This window comes from Homo sapiens, chromosome 18 (genome assembly GCF_000001405.40).
Source record: "Homo sapiens chromosome 18, GRCh38.p14 Primary Assembly".
NCBI lineage: Eukaryota > Metazoa > Chordata > Mammalia > Primates > Hominidae > Homo > Homo sapiens.
In genome coordinates this window covers 59,294,631-59,318,855 of record NC_000018.10, presented here as the reverse complement: position 1 = coordinate 59,318,855, position 24,225 = coordinate 59,294,631, and the positions used below count along the sequence as shown (strand labels likewise).

General features: G+C 43.2%; 1 protein-coding gene across 1 annotated transcript, besides 4 other annotated features; it reads left to right on the top strand.

Annotated features, from left to right (window-relative positions):
- Positions 1-206: 206 nt before the first annotated feature.
- CPLX4 (complexin 4) lies at positions 207-23,454 on the top strand. Its single transcript, NM_181654.4, has 3 exons — positions 207-560; positions 6,084-6,171; positions 21,931-23,454. The coding sequence occupies exons 1-3, from the start codon at positions 394-396 to the stop codon at positions 22,156-22,158; spliced, it is 483 nt and encodes a 160-aa protein (NP_857637.1). The 5' UTR covers positions 207-393; the 3' UTR covers positions 22,159-23,454.
- Positions 6,805-7,099: a silencer, noted in NCBI's record as "tiled region #1890; K562 Repressive non-DNase unmatched - State 24:Quies". NCBI's record gives its function as "represses a minimal TATA promoter and a strong SV40 promoter by Sharpr-MPRA in K562 cells {active_cell/tissue: K562}" and the evidence as "EXISTENCE:reporter gene assay evidence [ECO:0000049][PMID:27701403]".
- Positions 9,896-9,955: a silencer, noted in NCBI's record as "silent region_9495". NCBI's record gives its function as "represses an Ori minimal core promoter by ATAC-STARR-seq in GM12878 lymphoblastoid cells {active_cell/tissue: GM12878}" and the evidence as "EXISTENCE:reporter gene assay evidence [ECO:0000049][PMID:35858748]".
- Positions 9,996-10,045: a silencer, noted in NCBI's record as "silent region_9494". NCBI's record gives its function as "represses an Ori minimal core promoter by ATAC-STARR-seq in GM12878 lymphoblastoid cells {active_cell/tissue: GM12878}" and the evidence as "EXISTENCE:reporter gene assay evidence [ECO:0000049][PMID:35858748]".
- Positions 10,096-10,165: a silencer, noted in NCBI's record as "silent region_9493". NCBI's record gives its function as "represses an Ori minimal core promoter by ATAC-STARR-seq in GM12878 lymphoblastoid cells {active_cell/tissue: GM12878}" and the evidence as "EXISTENCE:reporter gene assay evidence [ECO:0000049][PMID:35858748]".
- Positions 23,455-24,225: the final 771 nt, after the last annotated feature.

Genomic DNA, 24,225 nt, shown 5'->3' with positions numbered 1-24,225 from the left:
TAATTTAATTGAAACAGGACTCTTGATGAAGCCCTGCTGTGCTTATAATTAAAAATTTAGAAAGGGGTAGATGATGTGGGGATTTCTTTTTCCTGTGAAATTAGCTGAGTGTATTAATTCAGAAGGTAGGCAGTTGCCTCTGATTGTATGCTTCGGTAATCTGAACCATCTGCCTCTATATACTAAGGAGTTCACCACTTTAATCCAGCTTACGGCCGACAAACCACTCTTCTCTATCAGTATGCCCTTGAATAGATGAGGTTGTGCAAAGTCCTTTGCTCTTAAATGTATTGCTGTCATTGAGAATATTTGGAGGTTTTCTCTTGGGTTTGTTTGGATTTTTTTTTTCAGCTTTTGTCTGAATTTTGGTTTTATTTTTCTGGGGCAGAGAAAATGGCTTTCCTTATGAAAAGTATGATAAGTAACCAGGTAAAGAATTTAGGATTTGGTGGTGGGTCTGAAGAAAATAAAGAAGAAGGAGGTGCATCTGATCCTGCAGCAGCTCAAGGGATGACTAGAGAGGAGTATGAGGAGTATCAAAAGCAAATGATTGAGGAGAAGTGAGTACATGCTATTTCATTTCCCTTAAAAAGCAAAGGAAATTCATTCTGGCCATACCTTCTTCAGTTCTCCAGTTTATTTCTCTTTGCTTTTTAAGATGCCTTTCCTTTTGCCGTTTACCTCTAACCCAAGGAAAGGTTGTTCTTCTAAAGTAAACGGTTCCCTAACATCAGCAGCTACTATGTTCTATGTTCTACATGTATGAATGGAAATGAACAATAATAAATGAATCTATATGTTGTTCTTAAAGCAGCTTAACACTTTCTGGTCTAGGCATGTTTTGATTGACCTCAATTTAATTATTTAGATGAAAAGTGGTAGGTTTAACTATCTTTACATTCTTTCTAAACTTCACCCTCTTAGCACGTAGAAAGTCTTCAAATTGTAAGAATTCAGACCTTATACCTAGAAAAGGGCCTAAAATAACATAGAGGGCAGCTTCTTTGATCTTGCATGTGAGAAAAAAAAAAAAAACCCAGGAAGCATAACATGACAATTATGTCATAAGACTTGGCTTATCAAAGACTATGAATGGATTTGTGGACTGTTTAATATGGAAATTCTAAACATACAGAAAAGTAGAATAGTAGGACAAATACCCACATATACCTATGACATAAAATCAACAGCTTACAGTTTGCTACATTTGCTTAAAGATTAAAAAGATAGATGGTAGATAATAGCTTTTAAAGTAAATTACAGATGTCATGTACTTCACCCCCAAATACTTCAGCCACCTTCCTCCAAAAAATAAAGGCATTTTCTTGGCTATATAAAATATAACAAAAATAAAATATAAAATATAAGCAACATTTAATTGGGTATTATAGAATGTGAATATCACCAACAACTTTTCACCACTTGAAGACTGATTCTGAAATAAATGTAATCTCTGTGTAATTTTTAAATGTTTAAGGTAGAATTAAGATTCTTTTAATAATCAGTTAAGAAATGAAACATCAATCTAGAGGTTAAATGTTTATCATATGTTTCAAAAGAAAAGTATTTCTTTTTTGCCACCAGGACTCTTTTGCTAATGATCAATTACATAATAGTTGCCTAAATCCTATCGCTAAGATGATTATAGGTGAAAAGGTTAATGACCTGGAGGAAACAAAGAAAGTACAAAGACTACGTTTAGTGGAAACCTTGTCTATTGTATTTTTCTGAAAGAAATCATGGCTTATAGACTACCTAGAATACATTATGCTTGGTTCTGCAGTAACTTAAAGTTGGTTTTTAAAAAACAGTCAATGCAACTAGCAAAAATGATGGTGCTAAGACTTGGGCAAAAGAAGCAGCATTCCTTGAATATTGGCTGATTTTACCTATGGCATGCAAAAGAACAAAAAGCTTAAAAGCAAAATAAGTACTGTGTAATGAAGGATAGAAGACAAAAATCAGCATCAAACATTCTCAGATCAAGTAGGCTAATGAAAACAGAAATGTAGACTACAGTTGTGAGCATGCAAAATATCACCTAATATGTTCAAGCAGCAGATCCGATTGCAGATAAGGCATCTATTTGATTAACTAATGTCCTAGTTTTCCTTAATTTTATATCTGGACAGATCAAAGCTCAAAATGGCCAAATCATACAGTCAATCAGCAGACTGAGTTGTCAGCTACTCAGCTTTTTGCATATGTGTGTGAGAATATTATATATTTATGTAGTCACTCAATGTAAGAAATAGTGTCAGGACAATGGAGCATTTGGCTTCCCTATGATAAAGAGGGATGACTTTCAGTCCATTGTTTGAGTTTTCAAGAATTTCACCACCTAGAATGCAATATGTAGTAGGCATTAAAAATAATTCATCACAAGATAAACGCAGAGAGAGCTACAAACAGTTTAGTATATATAATAATTAAAATCAATGTTAGCAAATGAAAGCCTCCTAAACCCATCCTCATCATTGTAGGAAGTGGGGAGACTATATGAATTATAAATAAAAAACTATTTAGCAATGCACTCTATTTAATAATGCACATTCATTTTTATTTTCTTTCTGTGTTCAATGTGTGTGTGTGTGTGTGCGCACGCACCACTGGTAACATTAGTACTGAAAGAGGTCTAAACATAAATAGACTATCTGGAAAGGAAATAAAACAATAGTCTGTTTCTCCCGCCATTTTCTCAATTATATTAAAATGCTTCTTTGCCATAGTTATGCTTCAACAGTTTCTACAATATCATTTGTAACTTGACTCTGACCTTTGTTTTATTCAGTAATTGTTTGGACCCCTAGTATGAGCATAGCATTGTGAGGAATGTACTGAAATGGAAGAGATGGGTTTTCTTCTGCAGGAATTTACACTTTACTTGGTGGGGGGAGACTAGCTAGCTGCATGTGACTATAAACAGAGCAACCAGCTTTTCTGCGTGATTTGTAGACTGGCTCTGGAGGACTGGAATGTAACTCTGCGTGGCATTAGTATCAACAAATCGATCAATGGGGTTTATAGTTATTTGATTTTCAACAAAAGCGCCAAAATAATCAGACCAGGAACGGAAAGTCTTTTCAACAAATGGTGCTAAACAACTGAAAAACATTGAACTTTGACCCCTACTTAACACTATACACAAAAATTAATTTGTCATGCATCATACACGTAAACATAAAAGCCAAAATTATAAAGCTTTTAGAAAAAAAAGTAGGAGAATATCTTTGCAACTTGAAAGTAGATGAAGATTTCTGTATCATGACCCAGATTGGCAATGACCATATCAATGACCATAAAATTATTAAATGATAAATTCAACTCTAAGTTAAAAACTTTTATACGTTAAAAGATGCCATTTAGAAAATAAATGGGCAAGCCAGACTGAGAGGATATATTTGGAAAATATATCTGACAAAGGACTGGAATCTAGGAAATATGAAGAACTCCTATAACTCAATAATGAAAGCAAAAACAATGGGCAAAAGATTTGAAGAAATACTTCAGAAAGATAGATACATGGCCAATTAGTACATGAAAATCTTACTGGAAATTACATGAAAAGCTGCTTAATATCATTAGCTGTCTTGGAAATGGAAAAAATTAAAATCACAGTAAAGTAGCACTCCATAAACACCAGTATGGCTAAAATCAAAAAGACAAAAAATGTTAAATATTGGCCAAAATGTGAAACCACTAGAACTCTTGTTTCAATTGTTGAAGCATAAACTAGTATGACCATTTTGGAGAAAGGTCGTGCTGTTTCTTATAAAACTAAATGCATCCCAGTAAGTTACCGTAGAACCCAGCAAATTCCATGCCTAGTTATTTACCCAGTAGAAATTAAAATATATGTCCACAAAAAAATCTAGAACAATATTCTTAGCAGCTTTACTTACTGTCACCCCAAATGGGGAACAATTCAGGTGTTCATTAACAGAAAAATGACTAGACAAATGGTGATTGTATTTGCGCAAACAATAGAATACTTACTACTCAGCAATAAAAAGGAACCAGCTACTAGTACATAAAACAACAAGGTTAAATCTCGAAAGTATTTTATGCTGAGTGAAAGAAGCCTTACACAAAGATGAACTGTATGGTTCCATTTTATGAAGTTCTAGAACAGGCAAAACCAATCTATGGTAGAAAAGGCGTGGTGGTTGCCTCTAGGGCTAGGGGGTAGGCCTTGATCAGGAATGGGGATGGGGGAATTTTCCCAGGTGAGAGTAATGTTTTCTATCTTGAGAGGGTTTTTGGGTTACACAGGTGTGTGCTTTTTGGGGAATCATTGAATGGTGTGCTTCAGAGGTTTGTGCATTGCATTGGATACAAATTTTGCTTCACAAGAAGAAAAGAGAAACTATAAACAAACATGTCACGCTAGTTAATGACATGCATATTGAAGAGTTTGGGGGAAATGTTACTGATTTCTGCAACTTCGAAATGTATCAAAAAAGTAAAATGTGGATAAAGAGAGGAATAGGTGTGATAAAAAAAAAAGTACAGTGAGATGCCAATTGTAGAATCTAGATGGATTTGATATCAAAATTCTTTCAACGTTTCTGTATGTTTGGAAGTTTTTACAGTAAAACATGGGGAGAAAAGGTCTGCTGCTTGTCCATGCCGCAGGTCGCTAATCTCCTGGACAGGTCACTTTATTCGATGTCCCTCTCCAAAACTAGAAGGTTGAACCCGATGTTCTCTCATGCCCGTTCCAGACCTGACATTCTGTGGATGGAAATGAGTTCAGAGAGCACCTGAGCCCAGGGCCTTTGATCAGTTTAAACTGATCATTTGCTGCAGCTCCTTCCTTAACACTCAGTTTTTTTGTATAATGGTTAAGATTATTTACAAACTCGGAGTCAAGACATAGAAACCAGTTTTCACCTGAAAATGAAAACAGGGGATTTGTTTTAAGCAGATAATGCTTTATGCAAAGATAGTTCACCAGATCCACAAGTAGAATTCCCATCAGGCCTCACGTGGGCCTAAACCAGAAAGCAGAAGGCTGTTGAGAGGCCACGAGCACTCTTTCCCTATCTCTTACCATTGCTTCTATCTGGGCATGGCTGCTTTGTTCTTCCTCAGCAGCCAGACTACAAGGTTAGTGGAAAATGACAGCCAATGGCTACCAAGTTCATCTGTTATTTTGACAGCCACACTGCAAGTGTCTGTCATTCTTAGTACCATTCCCAAATTTTCAAAGAGATTTCATTTACGGAGCTTGGTCTAACCCAATATAGCCAGAGGGCAGGGCCATGTATATAAATTCAGCTACCAATAAAGGACTTCTGTGGGCAGCAGGGACGGGTGGTGGTGCTTGTGAGCCTTGCAGACATTCCCAAAGGTGTCTGCTTTTGTCTGAATCATCATTAGCAAGAACGTCCATTTCAAACCAGCAACATCATGAGTTCAATTAGATCATTCACACAGCAGGACCCCAGTCTGACATTCTGGAAACATACCCTGCCTTGTTTGGGGCTACCTCCTTCCAAACTGGGAAGAAAATACCGTACCTAAATTGGGGTCTGGAGAGAGTAACAATGAAGGGAGACAGGTTTATATTATATCCCCCAACAACAACGGTCTTCAAAGAACTGCCTGGTTCTGGACACTGTGGCCCTATTTTAGTTTGCGTAAGAATCACTCGGGGAGCTTGCTAAAAATGTAGCTTCCCCTCCCCTGCACCCAGAGATTCTGATGCAGCAGGGCTAGGATCAGGCCCAGGAAGCTGCATTTGTCATAGGTGCACCAAGTGATTCTGAGGCTCATGGTCCCTGGCTGAACAGTCCACGGAAAACTCCATGTTAGGAAAAATCTCCTGGTTCGCATCACACAGAGATTCCTAGGACCAAATTGTCTTTGAGACTTAGAGGTATATACTGAAAGTTATGACAGTAGAGTAACAAACAGAGAGGCAGACGTTTGGGGACCTAGGAAAAAAATCCCATAGTTCCCAAGTGTCTGCCAGCAGTGGCATCTCAGAAGGTGTAACCCTGTGTCTGGCTCCTCTGAGCACGGGCAGGAATGTCCTTAGCTCTCTGTATCCTTCTGATCCTTTATTCTTTAACTTTTAGGATGGAAAGAGATGCTGCATTTACACAGAAAAAGGCAGAAAGGGCATGCCTCAGAGTTCATCTCAGAGAAAAATACAGGCTCCCAAAGGTAAGACACTCTGGAAACATCTAATCATTTCTTAATTAATGATAAATGGGAAGTCATGGTTGATTATCCACAAAGGATCATGTTCCTGAATATGAATATATATATATATATTCAAGATATATATATATATAAAAATATATATATTCAGGATATGTATATACATATTCAGGATATATATATATTCAGGATATATATATACACATATTCAGGATATATATATATTCAGGAGATATATATATATATATACACACACACATATTCAGGATATATATATATATATGCACACACGTATATCCTAATCATAACTGAAATGTTTGATATAGTGAAAAGAGCACTGAACTAGGAGTTCATAAAAACTTGATTCCAGTTTTTAACTTAACCTCTATGAACTTCCACTGTTGCTAAAAAAAACTGGAGTTAATACCTATAGATGACATTTTAATGTAAACTTATCTAAAGGTTCTAGAACTTCTCTATGTAAATACACAACAAGGACAATAATCATAGCTCACATTGGTTGAGCTCTTTCTAGGTACCAGGTACAGTACCTTGGCATGTATTAAGTCATTTAGGTTCTATTATCATCTCTGTCTTATCATAGAGGAAACACAGGCATGAAGAAAGTAGGTACCCTCCTGCCATGGGCCAGATAGCCAGGAAAGATAGAGCCCACGGTCCTGATTTCTATGATATTCCACCTCTATTTAAAAGGAACCATCGCTTGCTGGTTTGGGGAATAATGTAGTAGTGACAGTCATCACCTAGCACCATCTTATGCATCTCAGCACTGGCTGAGGGTGACTGCTGTAGGCTGTGGTCGAGTGAGTCGTTGGTCTCCTGGTGGGAAGGGAATGCGTTGACATGTTGTGGAACACGTCTTGGAGGTACTATTCCAGGGCTTGCATCCAGTAGTGACAGAGGGCCCATCACTTTGCTACTCTGACTCATACCACCTGACTCCACCTTCACTACCTGTCTACCTGACTAAATGACTCCACCTTCACCTTCTGAGCTGGTTATTCAATTTCATATTCCAAAGATGCGCCATCCCTTAAAGAACATCTTCCATCTGGAGAAGCCAAAGTAAAAGATCCCTCCAAAGGGCATGATCCCAAGTATGAGAGCCATCTCCAAGTCTGGGTGGTCTAGAAAGTGCTGCTAAACCAATTCCTTCCATGGATCCCCAGCAGATCCCAGAAAAAGCTGATTTTAGAAACTACAAGCACTAGACAAGGGAGAAGCCACTGTCTATGCAAGGTCACTGATGAAATCACCAAAGACTTAAACATGGTAGAGGTTGATCCCTAAGGTGCCCAAGGAACCTGGGTTCTGTTCTTAATAAGGGAAGGAAAACCCACAATAAAATGTAAGCTCATTTCATTCACAACCAATGAACTTGGAAAAGAATGCCTTGCTTTTCCTACCCCCAGCCCCGTTCAGGTTTAATAACTTTTCCTCACTGTGCTTGCATTTTGGAAGAGTGAAGCACTTCTAAACACTGTCCTTTCCACTTTCATTGTCTGGTGAATTTCCTGAAACTCCCTGGATGTCATTGGCTCACTTTAGCAATGTGGTCTCGCCCTAGGCAGGAAGATTGAGTCGGATTCATGCTACTGCGCTGAAGCCCCTGGCCTCTGCTCTTGGGCCATCTGATTAAAGCATCATCAACTTGTTGGGATGAAGCAGAAATTTCACACACACACACACACACACACACACACACACACACACACACACGATTGGCTGGGTGTGCATCGTCCAGAATGTAGGGCTTTTTACAGATTTATTTTTGGCAACTGTTATTCTTCTGTAGGGATCTAGGGAGAATTGGGGTTCCGTTGTAGCTCTGTGATGCAATATCACATGGTTTTTAAAAATATCTGAGTCTCTTAATTTATGCAGCAGCAATAGAAAAAAAAATCTGAGCCTCAGTATCCTCATCTATAAAATGAGGGCTGAAGTACCTAACTTCATAGGATCTTTGTCTGAGATAATGTAATATAAAGGACCTAGTACAACGCCTGACAATAGAGCTCTTATTATTGACATTATGATCTCTGGGCACAAAAGTCTTATTTCCTGATAATAACAACCAGGGGTCTTGAGGACCGCCAGTCCTTAGGTGTGTAATCAATGCAACAATGGAGGTTCCTGAGCCTCAAGGCCCCAAGCCTTTTATCTGTTTCTCCACTAATGGTAAATCAGCAGTCTTGCTGACTTCCAGATCTTCAGGGGTGAACACCCTTAGGCTTAGCAGTAAGGTTTAAGTACTCTTCCAAGAAAAATAATTCTTAAATCTCTGTGCCAGGGTATCTTTTGAAACAAGAGCCTTTCCAACAGAAACTATGGAAAGAGGAAAAAATGATAGCCATGAAATGCACAAATCCAGGTCCTCTCTGGAGAATGATTGTGGCTATACCTGCATAGGCTACTGCTCTCTAAAGCCAGCTAGGGGGAGGGACCGACATGAAGGATGTTGATAAATAACAGTAGAGCCCACCAGTGTCTTTCATTGCATGGCTTACTGATGTTCATATAGCCCCTTTTCTACAGCTGTTTCAAATGCATAATGCATTTGAGACCCCACCTGATTTTCTCATAGACCATGAAAGAGACCATAAAGCTCATCTAATAATCTCATACCACTGCGTCATTTTACACCTGAGATAACTGCAGCCCAGGAGGGTTAAGTAGCTTTGCAATAAGCCACATCTCCTGTGACAGACTTAGGACTGGAACTCAGGCCCCACAACCATGAAAAAGAGCAGCTTGTTCACAAAAGGACTTCAACAGGGCTCCTCCTTTCAAGGCATTTGTTCTTTCTACTCTTTTTTTCTTTTTCTTTTTTTTTTTTTTTTTTTTGACACAGAGTCTCACTCTGTCACCCAGGCTGGAGTGCAGTGGCATGATCTCCCCTCACTGCAAGCTCTGCCTCCTGGGTTCACCCCATTCTCCTGCCTCAGTCTCCCGAGTAGCTGGGACTACAGGCGCCCACCACCACTCCTGGCTAATTTTTTGTATTTTTAGTAGACACGGGGTTTCACCGTGTTAACCAGGATGGTCTCGATCTCCTGACCTTGTGATCCGCCCACCTCGGCCTCCCTAAGTGCTGGGATTATAGGCGTGAGCCACTGCGCCCGGCCTCTTTCTACTCTTAATATTTTGAGCTGTTCCCCAAAATTTTAGGGCAGTTTTGAATTCCACGTGGCTTAAAAAAATGGGAGCATATTATTTCTCCTGTGTTGTCTAACGGTTTGACCCTAGATCTGCAAGTAGCTGTCTAAATTCCAAATACAATCCAAACAAACAGATAAGAATTTCACTTGAGAACATTGTACACACCATCATTCATTGCAGTTTACTTCCAGGTGGGGACCCCCTCCTCCAAGGGCGTTTTTATATTTGGTTGCATTTGTAACAATGGATTCTACACACAATGTTTCAAAACCGTGCCTATGGTATGGAAGATACTACAAATACCAATAATACAATTGCCTGCTTTTTGTAAAGCACATGGAAATTCTAATCCCGTGTAGCTAGCTATAAAAATAGCACCTAATAAAACTATATGATAAGAAAAATCGGCTACTCTGGGCAGACTGCCCTGCTCTGCAAGGAGCAGTTTAAAAACTAAAATTTAAAAGTTTAAAAAATCAGCTGGATCGTATTCCACTTAGTCCAGTTATCACCAGCTGTGGCTAACTTCCCCTACCCCAGTGCAACACTTTGCGCTTGCAAACCAGCCCCACCCTTGGGCGCCTCCTCTGCCTCCCGCGCTGTCACTTGTCGCACGTTACCCTCCCGCCCGCGTCCCCGCACTGACGAGGCTCTGGGTACAGGGACCCTTCGATGGCCCATGTGGCGAAAAAGAGGCTGCGGGGGACAGACACGTTTCCCAGGCTAACGTCTGCCCAGGCTATGCAGAACAGCCGCTCCCGTCCAAGCCAGATCCTGGCTGGAGCAAGGAGGGCGCAGCGGTCGCCAGCGCGGGCCCCGAATCCTCGACGCCGGCGCCCCCTGGTGTTCCTAGCGCCGCGGCCACTGGCACCCGCGGGAGGCGGAACCCGGGCTGCGGGTGGTGGCAGGACCAGGGAGGGGCAGAAACCAATTTCTAGAGGTGACTTAAAAAAAAAAAAAAAAAAAGTCTTGATAGGTCATTGGATGGGATGGGGGGGAAAACAAAACAACAACAAAGAAAGAAAGAAAAGGAAAAAAAAAAAGCCTTACTATTTTGTTATTAAGGACCAGATCGTGCGTTTTCTATCCTCCCATGGCATAACGGGAGAGGGAGCTCGCAAACAGCCGAGTTTCCGCTGTCTCCGCAGTGACCAGGCTGCAGAGAGATTCTGAAACGACAGCAATCGAGGGCGGGCTGAAGGAATTGGAATCTTCGGCCTTGAGAGATGACTGAATAAATGAAGCTTATGGGGGGCAGAATCATGCCCCAGGCCTCCAGTGCCATGCTTTTTATTCTAATACTGAATTCAGCCAACTTACCCAGTGGCTTAGCTGCTGGTTGTTATTGAACTGTAGGTACCTAAAGTCTGTCTCTGATTACGCAGAGGAAACTCCGTAATGGAACCTTTAGAAAGCCATCCTTAGAGAGAGGCCGGACGCGGTGGCTCACGCCTGTAATCCCAGCACATTGAGAGGCCGAGGCGGGCGGATCACCTGAGGTCAAGAGTTCAAAACCAGCCTGGCCAACATGGTGAAACCCCGTCTCTACTACAAATACAAAAAAAAAAAAATTAGCCGGGCAAAAAAAATTAGCCGGCCATGGTGGCGGACCCCTGTAATCCCAGCTACCCAGGAGGCTAAGGCAGGGGAATTGCTGGAACCCGGGATGCAGAGGCTGCAGTGAGCCGAGATTGGGCCACTGCACTCCAGCCTGGGCGACAGAGCAAGACTCCATTTCAAAAAAAAAAAAAAAATCAGAAAAACACAGTGGGGATGCGAGGTGTAGGGTTTTGTCTCCTAGATGCTTCATTAAGGAGCAAGGAGACCCTGGAAGGCCAGACAGTGCCCATCTGGGTCACTAAGAGATGTGATTGACAAGCCCAAGGCATGGTGCTCTGTCCAAAGAACTGGAGGGAAGGAGAGGAGAGGCAGGCCTGCCAGTGCTGGCTCTTACTGAGGCCAGGGGAGGGCTGACCGAGGGCTGAACCAAAGGAACTGCTGTATTCGGAGGGAAACAGAGCAACAGATTCCCAAGTCCTTATAAGTCCCCTCTTTGGGGCTTGGCTTCCAAGGTCATCTGAGGAACATGCCAACCATCACTTCCCTCCAACCTTCTAAGTTCTTTTCCTAGAACAGGTTCAGGTTCCTGGATGACCACAGTACTTTGGCTCCTCGACACCAGTGTCTGAGTGCTGTTTCTCTTTTCAATAGACTTATTTTTTTACATCCGGAAAAGCACATACCATATGTGTGCACTCAATACATAACCATAAGGATCATGTAAATGTAGGGACGTTCCGAAGGTCACAAAGCTTGCTGTGACAAATGGAGACTCAAGCCTCCTTACTCTTCATCCAGGACTTTTTCGTGCCCCCTTCTCCTCATATCCCTCTAAACTGGGCATCAGATTCCTGGTGGTAGACTTTAGAACTGAACAGACTGTCTGACAAAGAAAACGGCACAAGACAGAAAGCAGGGGTCACTGGGACTCTAGTGGGTTCCTAATAACCGTCCCCTCCCTGCCAGGTTTGCAGAATACTTAACCTGTGCCATCTTCTAAAGCCCATATTGGGTAAGCATTCATAGTAATAGTATTAACAGCCCACAGGGAATTGGACGAATTTAACATGTCCTCCAGCTAATGAGGGATGACCCCCTGGGTGCCTCATTCACAATTCCCCAGGGTCACCACCACAGCGGTTACATAACAGCAGGATTCAGTTCTAGACCCTTCCCCTGACCAAGGCCCGACGGGGAGCAGATTTGAGAAAATGTCTTCCCGGGAGCTGTCAGGTCTAATGAGGATAACTATGTCACATTTTGGAATTAGAACTGTATTTTCTAAAGAAATTATTTGGCTGGTGTTTCCTCTGAAAAAGAGTTTCACTCTATTGCTGACAGGGAAAAGCAAATGTAGACTCTTTGAAAAGGAGCAACATAAGCCATAGCCCTCTAGATAAACAATAAAAGGTCTTGGGTCTCAAGTTTATTAATTGTTAGTGACAATACTATTTGCTATACCAATGTCTTTTGGTGACCATTGTTAATTTTGGTAATCAGATAAGTAATTAAATAAGGGCAGTAATCAAATTGCAGTAATCTGCAGTAAGTATGTATATGTATATGTATCTATACCAGTCATTATAATGTTCGTGTACACATATCCAGATTATGTCGATTTCCTCTAGTTGTCAAATTATAGGTCATCAGAGGACTTAAAATGCCTAAAGTCATCCATGATGCTCACGTTAGATTTGGATCGCACACCACTAATTATTCCACATCCTGTATCTTCAGTTTCTCCTTCTTGATTGGCCTCTCCTTAATAAAGGAGGTCAAATCTCTCCCATCTAAAACAAGGAAACAGTACTTTCTGAGTAAACATGGCTTTTTAGGTGTCTTCCCTTAAATGACTAGTTCTCACTGCTCTGCTGAAACCTTCTTCTTCCAGATGTTCAGGGTCTGTCTAAATACAGTAAGTGGTTCCCTTAATTTCTCTTGGGGCCTCTTTGTTTCTTCTAGCACTGGTGATCTCTTCTTCCTTAAAGCCCTCTCTCTCCTCAGCTTGCAGACATCACCCTCTGGTTCCTGTTCTCGTACTGCTTCTTCTTTATGAGTTATCTTTCTCTGTCTGCCTGCAAATTGTGGGATATTCCGGGGTGCCCCCTTGGCTGGCTCTTCTTCTCACTCGAGCCTGCACATTGTCCTCGAGGGCTGCACCTTGCCATTGCTTTTTGCTACCACCTACATGTTGATGATTCTCAAATCTATACCTCCAGACCACATCTCCCGAAATTTCATAACTGCAGCCACCTTTCCTTGGACACTTCACAGGTAGAACCAGCTCATATCCAAAACTCACTTGCTCATTCTCCCCATAAACCTGCTCCTCCTATAGGCTCCACTTCCATGGGTGGCTCTCCCGACAAGCCCATCATCTCCCAGGCTGGCTACCAGATGTCACCATTGCCTCTTCCCTCCCTGCTCCAGCTGCACGTCCAGTAAATCGCCAAGTCATCTTAATTCAGAGTTCTCAATTCACCATAGCTTTTCTACTTGGAGTCTTGTCCCCCTCCATACTGAGGTTTCTAAAATGCAAATCTGATCCTGTTTCTTTCCTGTTTTTTGTTTGTTTGTTTGTTTGTTTGTTTAAAGCCACTATGTCTTTTAGAATAAAATCCGAACTCCTTGTCCTGTATGCCATGATATGGCTCCTGTCTCTCCAGCCTCACCTCTTGCTACTACTCCCTGCCTGGACTAGCACTTCCTCCTGCTTCGTTCCCTGCTCCCTGTGGCCTTTGCTTTCTGTAAGACTCTGGTCAGTGCCACTTCTTCCAGGGCCTTCCATGATCTCCCTCCCTCTACCTAGTTCTGGATTGGGTCATCCTCCTCCATGTCCCCATATATCTTGAGTCCATGTCTCCTACATCATCTTATGACCCTAAATATCTGCACCTACTGTGTGCTCCTTTTAAAAAGGGACCGACTTTTAAATCTCTGTGCTCAGTGCCTAGCAAGGTGCCTGAGATATAGAAAATTGCACACACACACACACACACACACACACACACACACACACACACTGATTGTTGAGTAAATGGATGTTATTGGGGAAAAAGAAAAGAAAGAAAAATGCCCGGCCGGGCGCAGTGGCTCACCCCTGTAATCCCAGCACTTTGGGAAGCCGAGGTGGGCAGATCACGAGGTCAGGAGATCGAGACGATCCTGGCCAACATGGTGAAACCCCGTCTCTACTAAAAATACAAAAATTAGCTGGGCATGGTGGCGCATGCCTGTAATCCCAGCTACTCGGGAGGCTGAGGCAGGAGAATCGCTTGAACCAGAGAGTTGGAGGTTGCAGTGAGCCGAGATTGTGCCACTGCACTCCAGCCTGGCAGCAGAGTGAGACTCCATCTCAATAAAATAAAATAAAATAAAATGCCCAAAGAACAAAGTGTCAACACAACAGAAAGAATTTACCTGCCATTAGAGTTACAGTAAAATACAATTTTATGAAAATAACTAGTCCAGATTGGATATTGTAGTTTTGTATAAAACACAAAGGTTTCCTTGTTTTATAATTAAAACACCATATTTCTTCAAGTAGAGGAAGCAATATGTTTTAAATAAAGCTACAAGATTCTTTCTAAAAGCAAATGTGTTCCTCTCCCTGGCCAATTTAAAATGTATATGTAAGTCAAGCTAAATTAATAAGAGAAAACAGTTCCACAATGAACCCTAATCCTATTAACAGAATTGTCAATCTAGGTTAGTCATTGAAAAATAATGTTGTGACCCCTGCTGAGCTATATGATTTAGTTACACCTGGTGTTTGTCTGCCGTATTAAGGGCACCATTCATTTCGAATAAAGATGCATATAGGAGAAACTTAACAGAGTTTTCTTTAAATGTGTCACATTGAAAGCTCCATTACAGTTGAATGTAAAATTTGCCTCTTAAAAAAAATAACAAAGATGATTGTGTGAACCTTCCTTTGCCAGACCCCTTCAGATTAGGAGCTCTTGGGGCTGCCCAGCAGGGTCTGAGACACCGAAACCTCCTGCTTTCTGAGCAGCTGTTTCTGGTGGCCAGGCGGTGGGAAGGCCATCAGAGGCCCCAGCAGCCGCCATCTCTTCCTTCCCCTCCTCACCCTGCCCCAGTTCGGTTTGCTCCTCCTACTCATGTCCTTGAAAGAGCAATGGACTACATGTCTACAGGGAGCATGGGGATGGGAAGCAGTCACTGGACACTAGTGAAGCAGGATTTCAAGACGTGTTGCTTGGCCACACCAGCTTTCTCACGTCATCTTCACAAGTGCCCTGTGAGGTAGGTAGATATCACTTCGCCTTTACAGATGAGAACGCCTGCTCAGAGAGGGAAAGTGACTTTCCAAGGTCACACAGCCAGTAAATGGCAGAGCAAGATTCTGCCATGAGACAATCCGAGCCCACAAGCCATGTTTTCTTGCTAGACCCTTCTGGCAGCTGTGCTAGGTTCTCATCCCCTAAAAAGCAGAATGACATTTTTGCAAGAATCTTTACCTCTCGAGACCTCACTTTCCTCCTCTGTAAGTGAGAGGCTTGGATATGCGGCCTCCGGGAGCTTCTTGAGTCCCTGTGGAATGTCTTCATAAGGGAAAGAGGTATGAGATGTGCACAGCTGGTATCTAGAAATTCTCATTCCATGTAGCTCCCAACGCATGCACACTTTCAATCAAACTGAAAACTGATGCCTATTCTTCAAGAAGACAAATCCACACCATCTGTCCTACTCTAGGGGTGCTGAGGGCTCTTTAAGTAGCTAAAGAGGGAAGGGCAGCAGTGGGGCACAGCAGAAGGAGCAGCCAGCATGCCCCAGCCCAGGGCCTCCACACCAGTCACACACTAGCTTCTGAGGGCAGCAGCCTCACTCATAACCAGGACAGTGAGAGTGGTTTATGAAGACAAGTACCTGACTGCTCAAGTCCATGATCCTCACCATTATGTCAATCTCACGCTACATGAACTCCTCCATGTGAAAGAAATCCATTCTTCTAGCTTTTGGTATCCTGTGGACAACAATAAGTGAATAAACCAAAAACAAAATCAAATCTACCTAATATCAATCACACTGGTATTTGCTTATACAACATGCTTAGCTAACTAGACTCTGACAAGAGGAGAATGCTCAGCTTTTTGAAGACATAACCATCTAAGATAATTTATCATGGTATCTCAAGTTTGGTAAAAGAGAAGTCCAGTTTATCCAGGTCCAAGAAGTAGTAAGTCTTGAAATCCAGGGTCATGTTTATCCTTTGGTGAAAGGTCAGGCATCAGTCACAGGAAATGACAATGGTAGGATATGGAGCTATTTAAATAATGGGGTACTCAGCACTGGCCATAAAGATAATAAGTCTGGTTAAAAACAAGAGATTAAAACGGATTCTCATCAGCTGGCATAAAAATAATTAGCTCTTAACTGCATTAAACAATATCCCAAATTGATAAGATTTCTAGAAATGAGACGATCTCTGAAACAGAGCCTCTAAGAACAAAGTATAGCCTATAAGTCCCCTAATTATGTGCTGGCTCACTCATTCATTCATTCACGCCACGGTTCTCATCCTTGAGCCTTCCCTCCCTCCCTGGAGCTGCTTCCGGCCTGTAGTGATGCTGATTCACATTGGCTATAACTGCACTTGTATTTGGGGGTTGTAATGAGGCATTACTTCTTTTCCTTGAAGTGTGAACTGTGTCCAAATATTCCTGGTCTCCCCAACCCAAGATTTGTCAATGGGCAGCAGAACGTGTGGACAAGACATTCATTGTTTGAATTGCAGACAAGGTCCTGTCAGCAGGGTGGTTCATTAGGAAGAGAGGAAACAAGGCTGCTGTGTCCACTGTATAAATCCCATTTATGCTTCTTAATTGCTTGCTGTGTCCCGGATCTTTCTCTTAAGGGCCGATACTCTCCCACCGTCTCTTTCACTGTCCATGCCTTCTTTATCCCAGGGATCCTTTCAGCAGGGATCTTGACACTGAGCTGCCCTCTTTCCTCTAAAATATTCATAACCACTGCTACCATTTGTCCAGAGCTTAGATGCTTGCGAGGCTGTTTCACAGCATGTCTCATTCAATCTGCTCAACAGTCCTCTAAGTGGCCCTTCCATTGGACATCAGAAACATAAGTTGACTTGCCCAAGGTCATGCATTGGTGAATGGCAGATCTGGGACTCAAACCCATGTCTAACTCCAAATCCCACAATCTTTCATTCTCCTAGGCTGCCTCCACCAGAAAACGGTTTGGATAGGCTGCAACTTTTTACAAAGGAGATACTTGAATACTTAGCCAGTTCTAGGTCTAGGGCTAGCTCAATTAGTTAGGATCCAGAGCTAATGAGGCTACAGGCCCACATTTGGTTCCAGAGGGCATCATTTTCTCCTCTAGCCACTCAACGGCCTTGTCTGGTTGTCCTACCTTTAGTCATAAGATGTCCATGGCACAGGCTGCAGCCCAGAGTAATTGGCTTCAAGACTAGAATCATCTCCAGAAGCAGCCATGCTCTGGTGGAGGGCCAGTAGCCTTGTACTTCTAGATCAATGGTGAGTGCAGGACTCTCTGACCACAGCCATCGAGTACACCCATTGCTGCCTTTGGACCTGGACATCTGAGGCCACTGCCCTGGGGCCCATGTTTTAGAGGGCTCTCTTGGTCTCTCTTCTAGCCACACTCTTTCACACGGGGTGAAGAGTCTGTGGGCCAAAGGGCCTAGCCCAGGCAGAGCCCACACCCCTCTTGTAGACTATGCTCAAGCTGCTTAGGACCCCAAACGCCCTGCCTAAGTGCATTCCAGAGCATTCTCAGGCCTCCGATGCAGATCTGTGCTCCTGAGAGTGGCCAGGCAGACTAGGCCTGAGGAGTGGGGTAGGGGCCATGCACCCAAGGTCCTAAGGCCCTTCCCAGTGAGGGCTGGCACCAGGAACTGGAAAAAAAAGAGGGCCAGGTTGTGAGCCAGGAACTTCTATCAGCACTTATGTTCTGCCACCCACAAAAGTCAGGGGCGGGCCTGACAAGAGGTAAGGGGAGCTAGGGCTGGCTAGGTAGCTTTCTCCTAGAATAGAGAGCCTAGTGCTAAAGAGGAAATGACTAAGCCTGGCTTGTTAGAAAAACCAAGCCTTTGGGTGAAGGTAGGAGTCATTGCTAGGTCAGAGGTAAGGTGCCAGGACATCACAGCCTCCTGACAGAGCTAACCCCATGTGCAAGACTGCCCACAGCAAATTCCCCTGCCCACCTCTGAAGGTTATTATTTTTATGAATAGCTACTACTGGGTGAGTGCTTAACAGATTCTAAATAATTCAGTTACCATCTAATTAACCTTCCACAGCTCTAAGGCAAATAATGCAATTCTCCATATACAGACAAGGAAATAAAGCTCAAAGAGGCCATCTATACGAAGTGCCCCAGGTCACCCATCCTATAAGTGGTAGAACTAATGTGCTCACTCAGGCAATTTAGGCTGCGATGCCCCAATGGAATTATAAAGATAAACCGATAGCTACGAAAACAGAGCTCTTTACAGCAAAGAGGACCTACAAATTTGAGTATTACTAAGGCTGTTATCCTCTCTGACAATAGGTTCATTGAATCATTCAGTAAACATTTATTTTAATTTTTAAAAATATTTATTTATTTGTTAAGACAGAGTCTCTCTCTTTTGCCCGGGCTGGAGTTCAGTGGCGTGATCTTGGCTTATGGCAACCTCTGCCTCCCAGGTTCAAGTGATTCTCCTGCCTCAGCCTCCCTAGTAGCTGGGATTACAGGTGTGTGCCACCACTCCCTGCTAATTTTTTGCATTTTTAGTAGAGACGGGGTTTCACCAAATTGGCCATGCTGGTCTTGAACCCCTGACCTCAGGTGATCCCCCCGCCTCAGCTTCCCAAAGAGCTGGGGTTACTGGCTTGAGCCACCATGCCCGGCTATTCAGTAAACATATAATTGTCTGTGTCTACATGCCAGAAACCTTGCTGGGTTATGAGACAGAAAGATGAGTAAGTTACAGCCCTTGTCTTCAAGAAATGTAGAGCAGGGGTTCTCAAACTTCAGCAAGCCCCAGAATCACCTGGAAGACTTGTTAAATCACAGATTGCGAGGCCCGAGCCCTGAGTTTCTGATTCAGTGGGTCTGAGTAGGGTCCCAGCACGTGCATCTCTAGCAAAGTCCCAAAAGATGTTGATGCTGTTGTCCTGGAGAACCCACTTTGAGAACTACTTTGAGAACCACTTTGATAAAAGTTAGGGCAATCAAGATCCTCTCCATAAGGCAACGTAGAATTGCACTGCTCTCCCTTCCCTGAGCAAGAAGCACAAGGATAAAACGAACCTCAGAGTCACCCTTGAAGGAGGAAACCATCCCAAAGCTTCTTCAAGCGCTGCAGAGCCATAGATGGTGGCCTCGCTGAAGTCTCCCTGTGAATGGGAGGCAGGCGAGCACCATCCCGTGAGCCCTCATGAGTGTGTTCGGTGTTTTATACTCCTGGCTGGCTGACACGCTTTCCTCTAGCCCCTCTAGCTGCCCATCCCTGCAAGCCCACAGCAGTTACCCTGTCCAGGTTCAAACCTGGTGACATGCTTGGGGATCTTACTACCAACCTGAGGGAAGGGGCCAGAATTCCCGGGAATGTCTTTTCAGATTACTTGCATTTGATTTCAGGATGCATAAGAGAGGGCAGATGTCCCACATTGGCATGAACTGAGAATGAGTCGTCCACCTTGTGCTTTTCCTCTCCTTCCTGCAAAAAGTCCCAGAAGACGATCAGCAAGGAAAGCAGCCGCTAGGGAAGGCAAATAAAAAATAAATAGAAATGCACAATTGGCTGGGAGCCCCTAAGGATTAACTAACTAATTAATCCCACAACAGTTTGACCAGGAACTAATTAATCCGTTAAGCACTTGGAGGGCCCAAGGCCCTGGCCAAGAGCAGGGAGAGGCTTCACTTATCTCCGGAGGCTGGCGCGGAGTGGGACTGTCCTCCAGGCTCTCCAAGGAGGGCCTGGGTGAAGACTGTCCTTCCCAAAATCAGTGGTTCCTGCTGCATCAGAAATCTGCTTCTCAAGCTATTTCTTGAGCCAGACTCCTGTGTCACTCTGCCCAGGGAACCGAATCAAAGAAGAGAGCCCTGAGGAAAGGCAGCTGGGCTTCAGCCCCTCCAAGGATGGGAGCCACAGAGTGTTAGAACTGGAAAAGACTTCAGCCATCTCGTCCTTCCAACCCACTTTCCAGATGAAGAATGAAGTTTCCAGGTTACCTGGTGTGCTGTTTGGACCTAGAGACAACTGATGTTTCTTTCTGATCATTCCTACATAGCACCCAGACAGGGAGAATTCAGATCTCTCTTTAGGTGCTGTCTTTAACTCCACCTCAGAAGTCACCAGGTGCAGAAATCTTTCTTAAAGCAATGTAGTCTGTTTGACTAAGATCGTCATTTTTTAATATGATTTTTCATGAGCTTTGGTAACAAATTTAAGGCTGGTCACAACATATTCAGGTGGCTCTAACATAGATCTTTCCTCTCATTAGCTTTTCTGACACTCTTTTTAATCTTCTGTTTCCCTGAAACCCAGGTCACCTCATGTTACAACCTGATCTCCAAAAAATCTGACAGCAGCCATCTGGGGATGTAAGCTACTGTTAACCTTTCCCAGAGAATATTTTTCTTTAGACTCCTCTCTCATTACAGAACAAGAGACTCTATAGCCTAAGTGGTAAAAGAATCTCAGCTGAGTATGGGGGTGCATACCTGTAGTCCCAGCTACTTGGAAGGCTGAGGTGGAAGGATTGCTTGAGCCCAGGAGGCCAAGGCTGCAATGAGCCCAGATTGCACCACTGCACTCCAGCCTCGGTGAAAGAGAGAGACCCTGTCTAAAAAAAAAAAAAAATAAAGGAATCTCAAAGACCAGGCAGCATGCATTAAGAAATTCTAGAACAGACACTCCTAAAATCACAAAATGAAATGTGCAAGGCGCTTGTGACAGCGTCAGCAACACCGAAGGCTAGACTGCCAGTATGCTGAGTGGCGGCCATGCCCTTGATGGTTCACTTAATACATGTGTACTGTGTGCTAGACTCCAGTCCAGGTGCTAACGGTGGAAAGTTGAATCTGACAAGAGCCCATGACGGGCTCCCTGTCTAGTGGAAGGGAGGAAAAGAGCCATGATTAAGAAAAAGTTGCCACTAAGGTGTGATGAGTGAATTAATGCATACTGTCTAGTTACTATAAACTGAGACCTCATCCTCTACAGTGGGGTCAACCAGGTGAGTGGGTCTTGGCATGGGGCTGATAGAATCTGCAAGACTTGCAAAGCTGCCCTTAGGCAGAGTTGGGGTGTGATGCCCCAGCTTTTGTGTGTATCAGCATCACAGAGAGAAAGACATTCTTAAAAATCCAGATGGGGTTGGGAGTGGTGGCTCACACCTGTAATTTCAGCACTTTGGGAGGCCGGGGTGGTTGGATCGCCTGAGGTCAGGAGTTCGAGACCAGCCTGGCCAACATGGTGAAACCCCGTCTCTACTAAAAATACAAAAAAATCAGCTGAGTGTGGTGGTGCACACCTGTAATCCCAGCTACTGAGATTTACTGAGGCAGGAGAATTGCTTGAACCAAGGAGGCAGAGGTTGCAGTGAGCTGAGATCGAGATACTGCACTTCAGCCTGGGCAACAGAGCAAGACTCCCTCTCAAAAAAAAAAAAAAAATTCCAGATGGCTGGGCTCCATCTCCAGAGTTCCTGATTCAGTGGGTCTGGGATGGGGCCCAAGAATTTGTAGTTCCAGCAGGCTCTAGATGATGCTAATGCTGCTTGTCCAGAGACCACACTTGGAGAACCACCATGCTGGAAGGTTCTGATCGACGCAAGGTGCCATGAAGAAAGGACCCCCCTACAGAAGCCCCCACAACTGCCATCAGGACCAGGCTCTGCTGCAAGGCCAAGAGTGCCACTCACTTCCTGTATTCTCTAAAGACCTTTTCCTGCTGCTTTTAAAATTTATTTAGTTAGTGAGTTAGTAGTTTAGAGTTATTTATCTATCTCTATTTATTTTTCACATAGAGTGAAATGGATGAGAATCAAATCCAGATGGCTGGAGATGATGTGGATTTACCTGAAGATCTCCGGAAAATGGTAGATGAAGATCAAGAAGAGGAAGAAGATAAAGATTCTATTCTTGGGCAGATACAGAATCTCCAGAACATGGACTTGGATACCATAAAAGAAAAAGCCCAGGCCACCTTCACTGAAATCAAGCAGACAGCGGAGCAGAAGTGTTCCGTGATGTGAGGGGTGGGAGGGGTGGAGGGAGGGAACCAGCCATCCTTGGAAAAGACCACTCTCTTGTGGGACGTTTCAAGCAGTACATGTTTTAATGTAGTGAACACAGTTAGGAAAACCACGATGATCCATTGACAGACAATAATTTGGTTGTTCTAAATATTCCTGGCAGAGCATTTAGCTAACACCTTGCAGCGGGAACCTTACTTTCCTTTTAGTTATAAATGAGATAAACTGGAAAATTTCAGTTGTAAATGATGATGCAGAACACATATCTGCTTAAAGACCTTGAGATGAGCCAGGAAGAAACAAAAGCAAGGGGCATTTCCTCTCCAACTTTCTTCCTTGGAGGCCAAGTTCTCACCCTGTCCAACTATTCGCAGGACACCAGGTCCCTTCAGAGAGAAATGTGGAGAGTCAAGGTGTCTACTGGGAGCCGGGTTTCCCACAGGGAGCTGAGTCTACAGACTCCAGGGCAATCAAAGGTCACCACCCCCACCCCTCACCTCTAGGATCCTTGAATTTGTCAATGATACTCATCAAGTATGCTTGGATCCTTTGGTCCTTGGATGCTTCTCAGCCAAGTGGCGGTAGCACAGATGTGGTGAACAATGACGAATTGAGGCAGGGAATAGACCTCACTAGCCCTTTGCAATGGAGATCATCGTTCTAGTGGCCATGTGAAGAATGGAACCAAGGGAGGCACAATTAGAGGCAGAGGGAAACCAGGCAGACGGCTGCTCTTTTTGAGTTGAGCTTAACTCTCCTTGTCTGAACTTGGTGATAGCAATGGGAACAAAGTGGGTAGACTAACAGAGAGCATTAAGAAGTTAAATCAATCTCTCTCTGTCTCCTCCCAACCTCTCTCTCTCTTTCATCCCCTTCTCTCCCTATCTCTCTTTTTTTTTTCTTCTCCTGTCCCTTCCCATCCCACCCCTTTAGACTACCTTCCAGTAAATCACACTGTCATTTGGTGCCACAAGCTTTCAGGGTAGACACTGATTTTTCCCCCCTAATATCTGCTCTCTTTCAAAAGGAATAATTCAAAAGACTTAGGACAATTACCACTGAAACACTTCGAGCTATTTAGCTAAAGCCCACCAAACCAAAACAAAATACTGATTTTTTTTTTTTTTTTTGGTGACTCTGTTCATACAGTGAATAAAGATCTATCAAAGGAAAAGGAAACTGAGACCGAAAACTTAGGGTCTAAGTTGTTCTAAACCCAGGGTTCTCAAATGTGTTGTACAAAAAGTTTCATGTAATAAAATTAAGCAAATAAAACAAATGAATAGAGGTCCAAAACCTATGGTCCTTGGCAAAGTTTAATCTGTCTTGGAAATTCCTGGGAGAACATTGGTGCAATGATTGAGGCTGATTAGCCTTCTAGTCCACAAACCCAGATGCCATGGGCACATTTTAAAACTGTGCTTGTCTTTTATCAGAAATGGCATGTGAGTTGTGATTTGTTTTATAGCAGAAACTTTAAAAAACTCACTTTTTTAAAAACTACAATATAATAGATAACATTTATTTTCAGTTTAATGCCTGACTCTGCCCTGTAGTTGGTGAGGTGGGTAGTATGGATGGGTGAGAGGTGCTGTATGTGGCCTGATATCTGTACACTTTGTATGACATAAAATACTACAGCTGCCAAATTGTTCCACACTCTAGCCTCAGGATGACAAAGAAGATGTGCTTTCTTGTAAAAGATGCAGCCAGTTCTGCTAAGGAAATCACTAAATTGGCACTTCCTCTTGACTGCCAACATTACTCCAATGCAATTTGGTCGTTGTCTCAATGAAGCTGCACAGCTGCTAGAAGACTCTGACCATGATTCCTCTCATATCACACCATACAACCCCACAACACAGCCCAGTATATCACATCACCCCACATCACATTACACCAGACCACAACCTATCACACCACATTACACTACAACGCACCACCCCACACTAAACCACCCCTCACCATGCCAAACCACACCACCCCAATCAACACCAAATCACATGTGTATGGGTTGGGAGAGGGAGGACATGTATTAGGGCATCCAGAAGGCCCCTTTCTCTCTAG

Coding starts and splice junctions, on each gene's coding strand:
- CPLX4 (NM_181654.4), top strand. CDS start 394: ATGGCTTTCCTTATGAAAAGTATGATAAGTAACCAGGTAAAGAATTTA. Junction 561..6,083: donor AAGCAAATGATTGAGGAGAA/GTGAGTACATGC, acceptor TTTAACTTTTAG/GATGGAAAGAGATGCTGCAT. Junction 6,172..21,930: donor AAAAATACAGGCTCCCAAAG/GTAAGACACTCT, acceptor TTTTTCACATAG/AGTGAAATGGATGAGAATCA.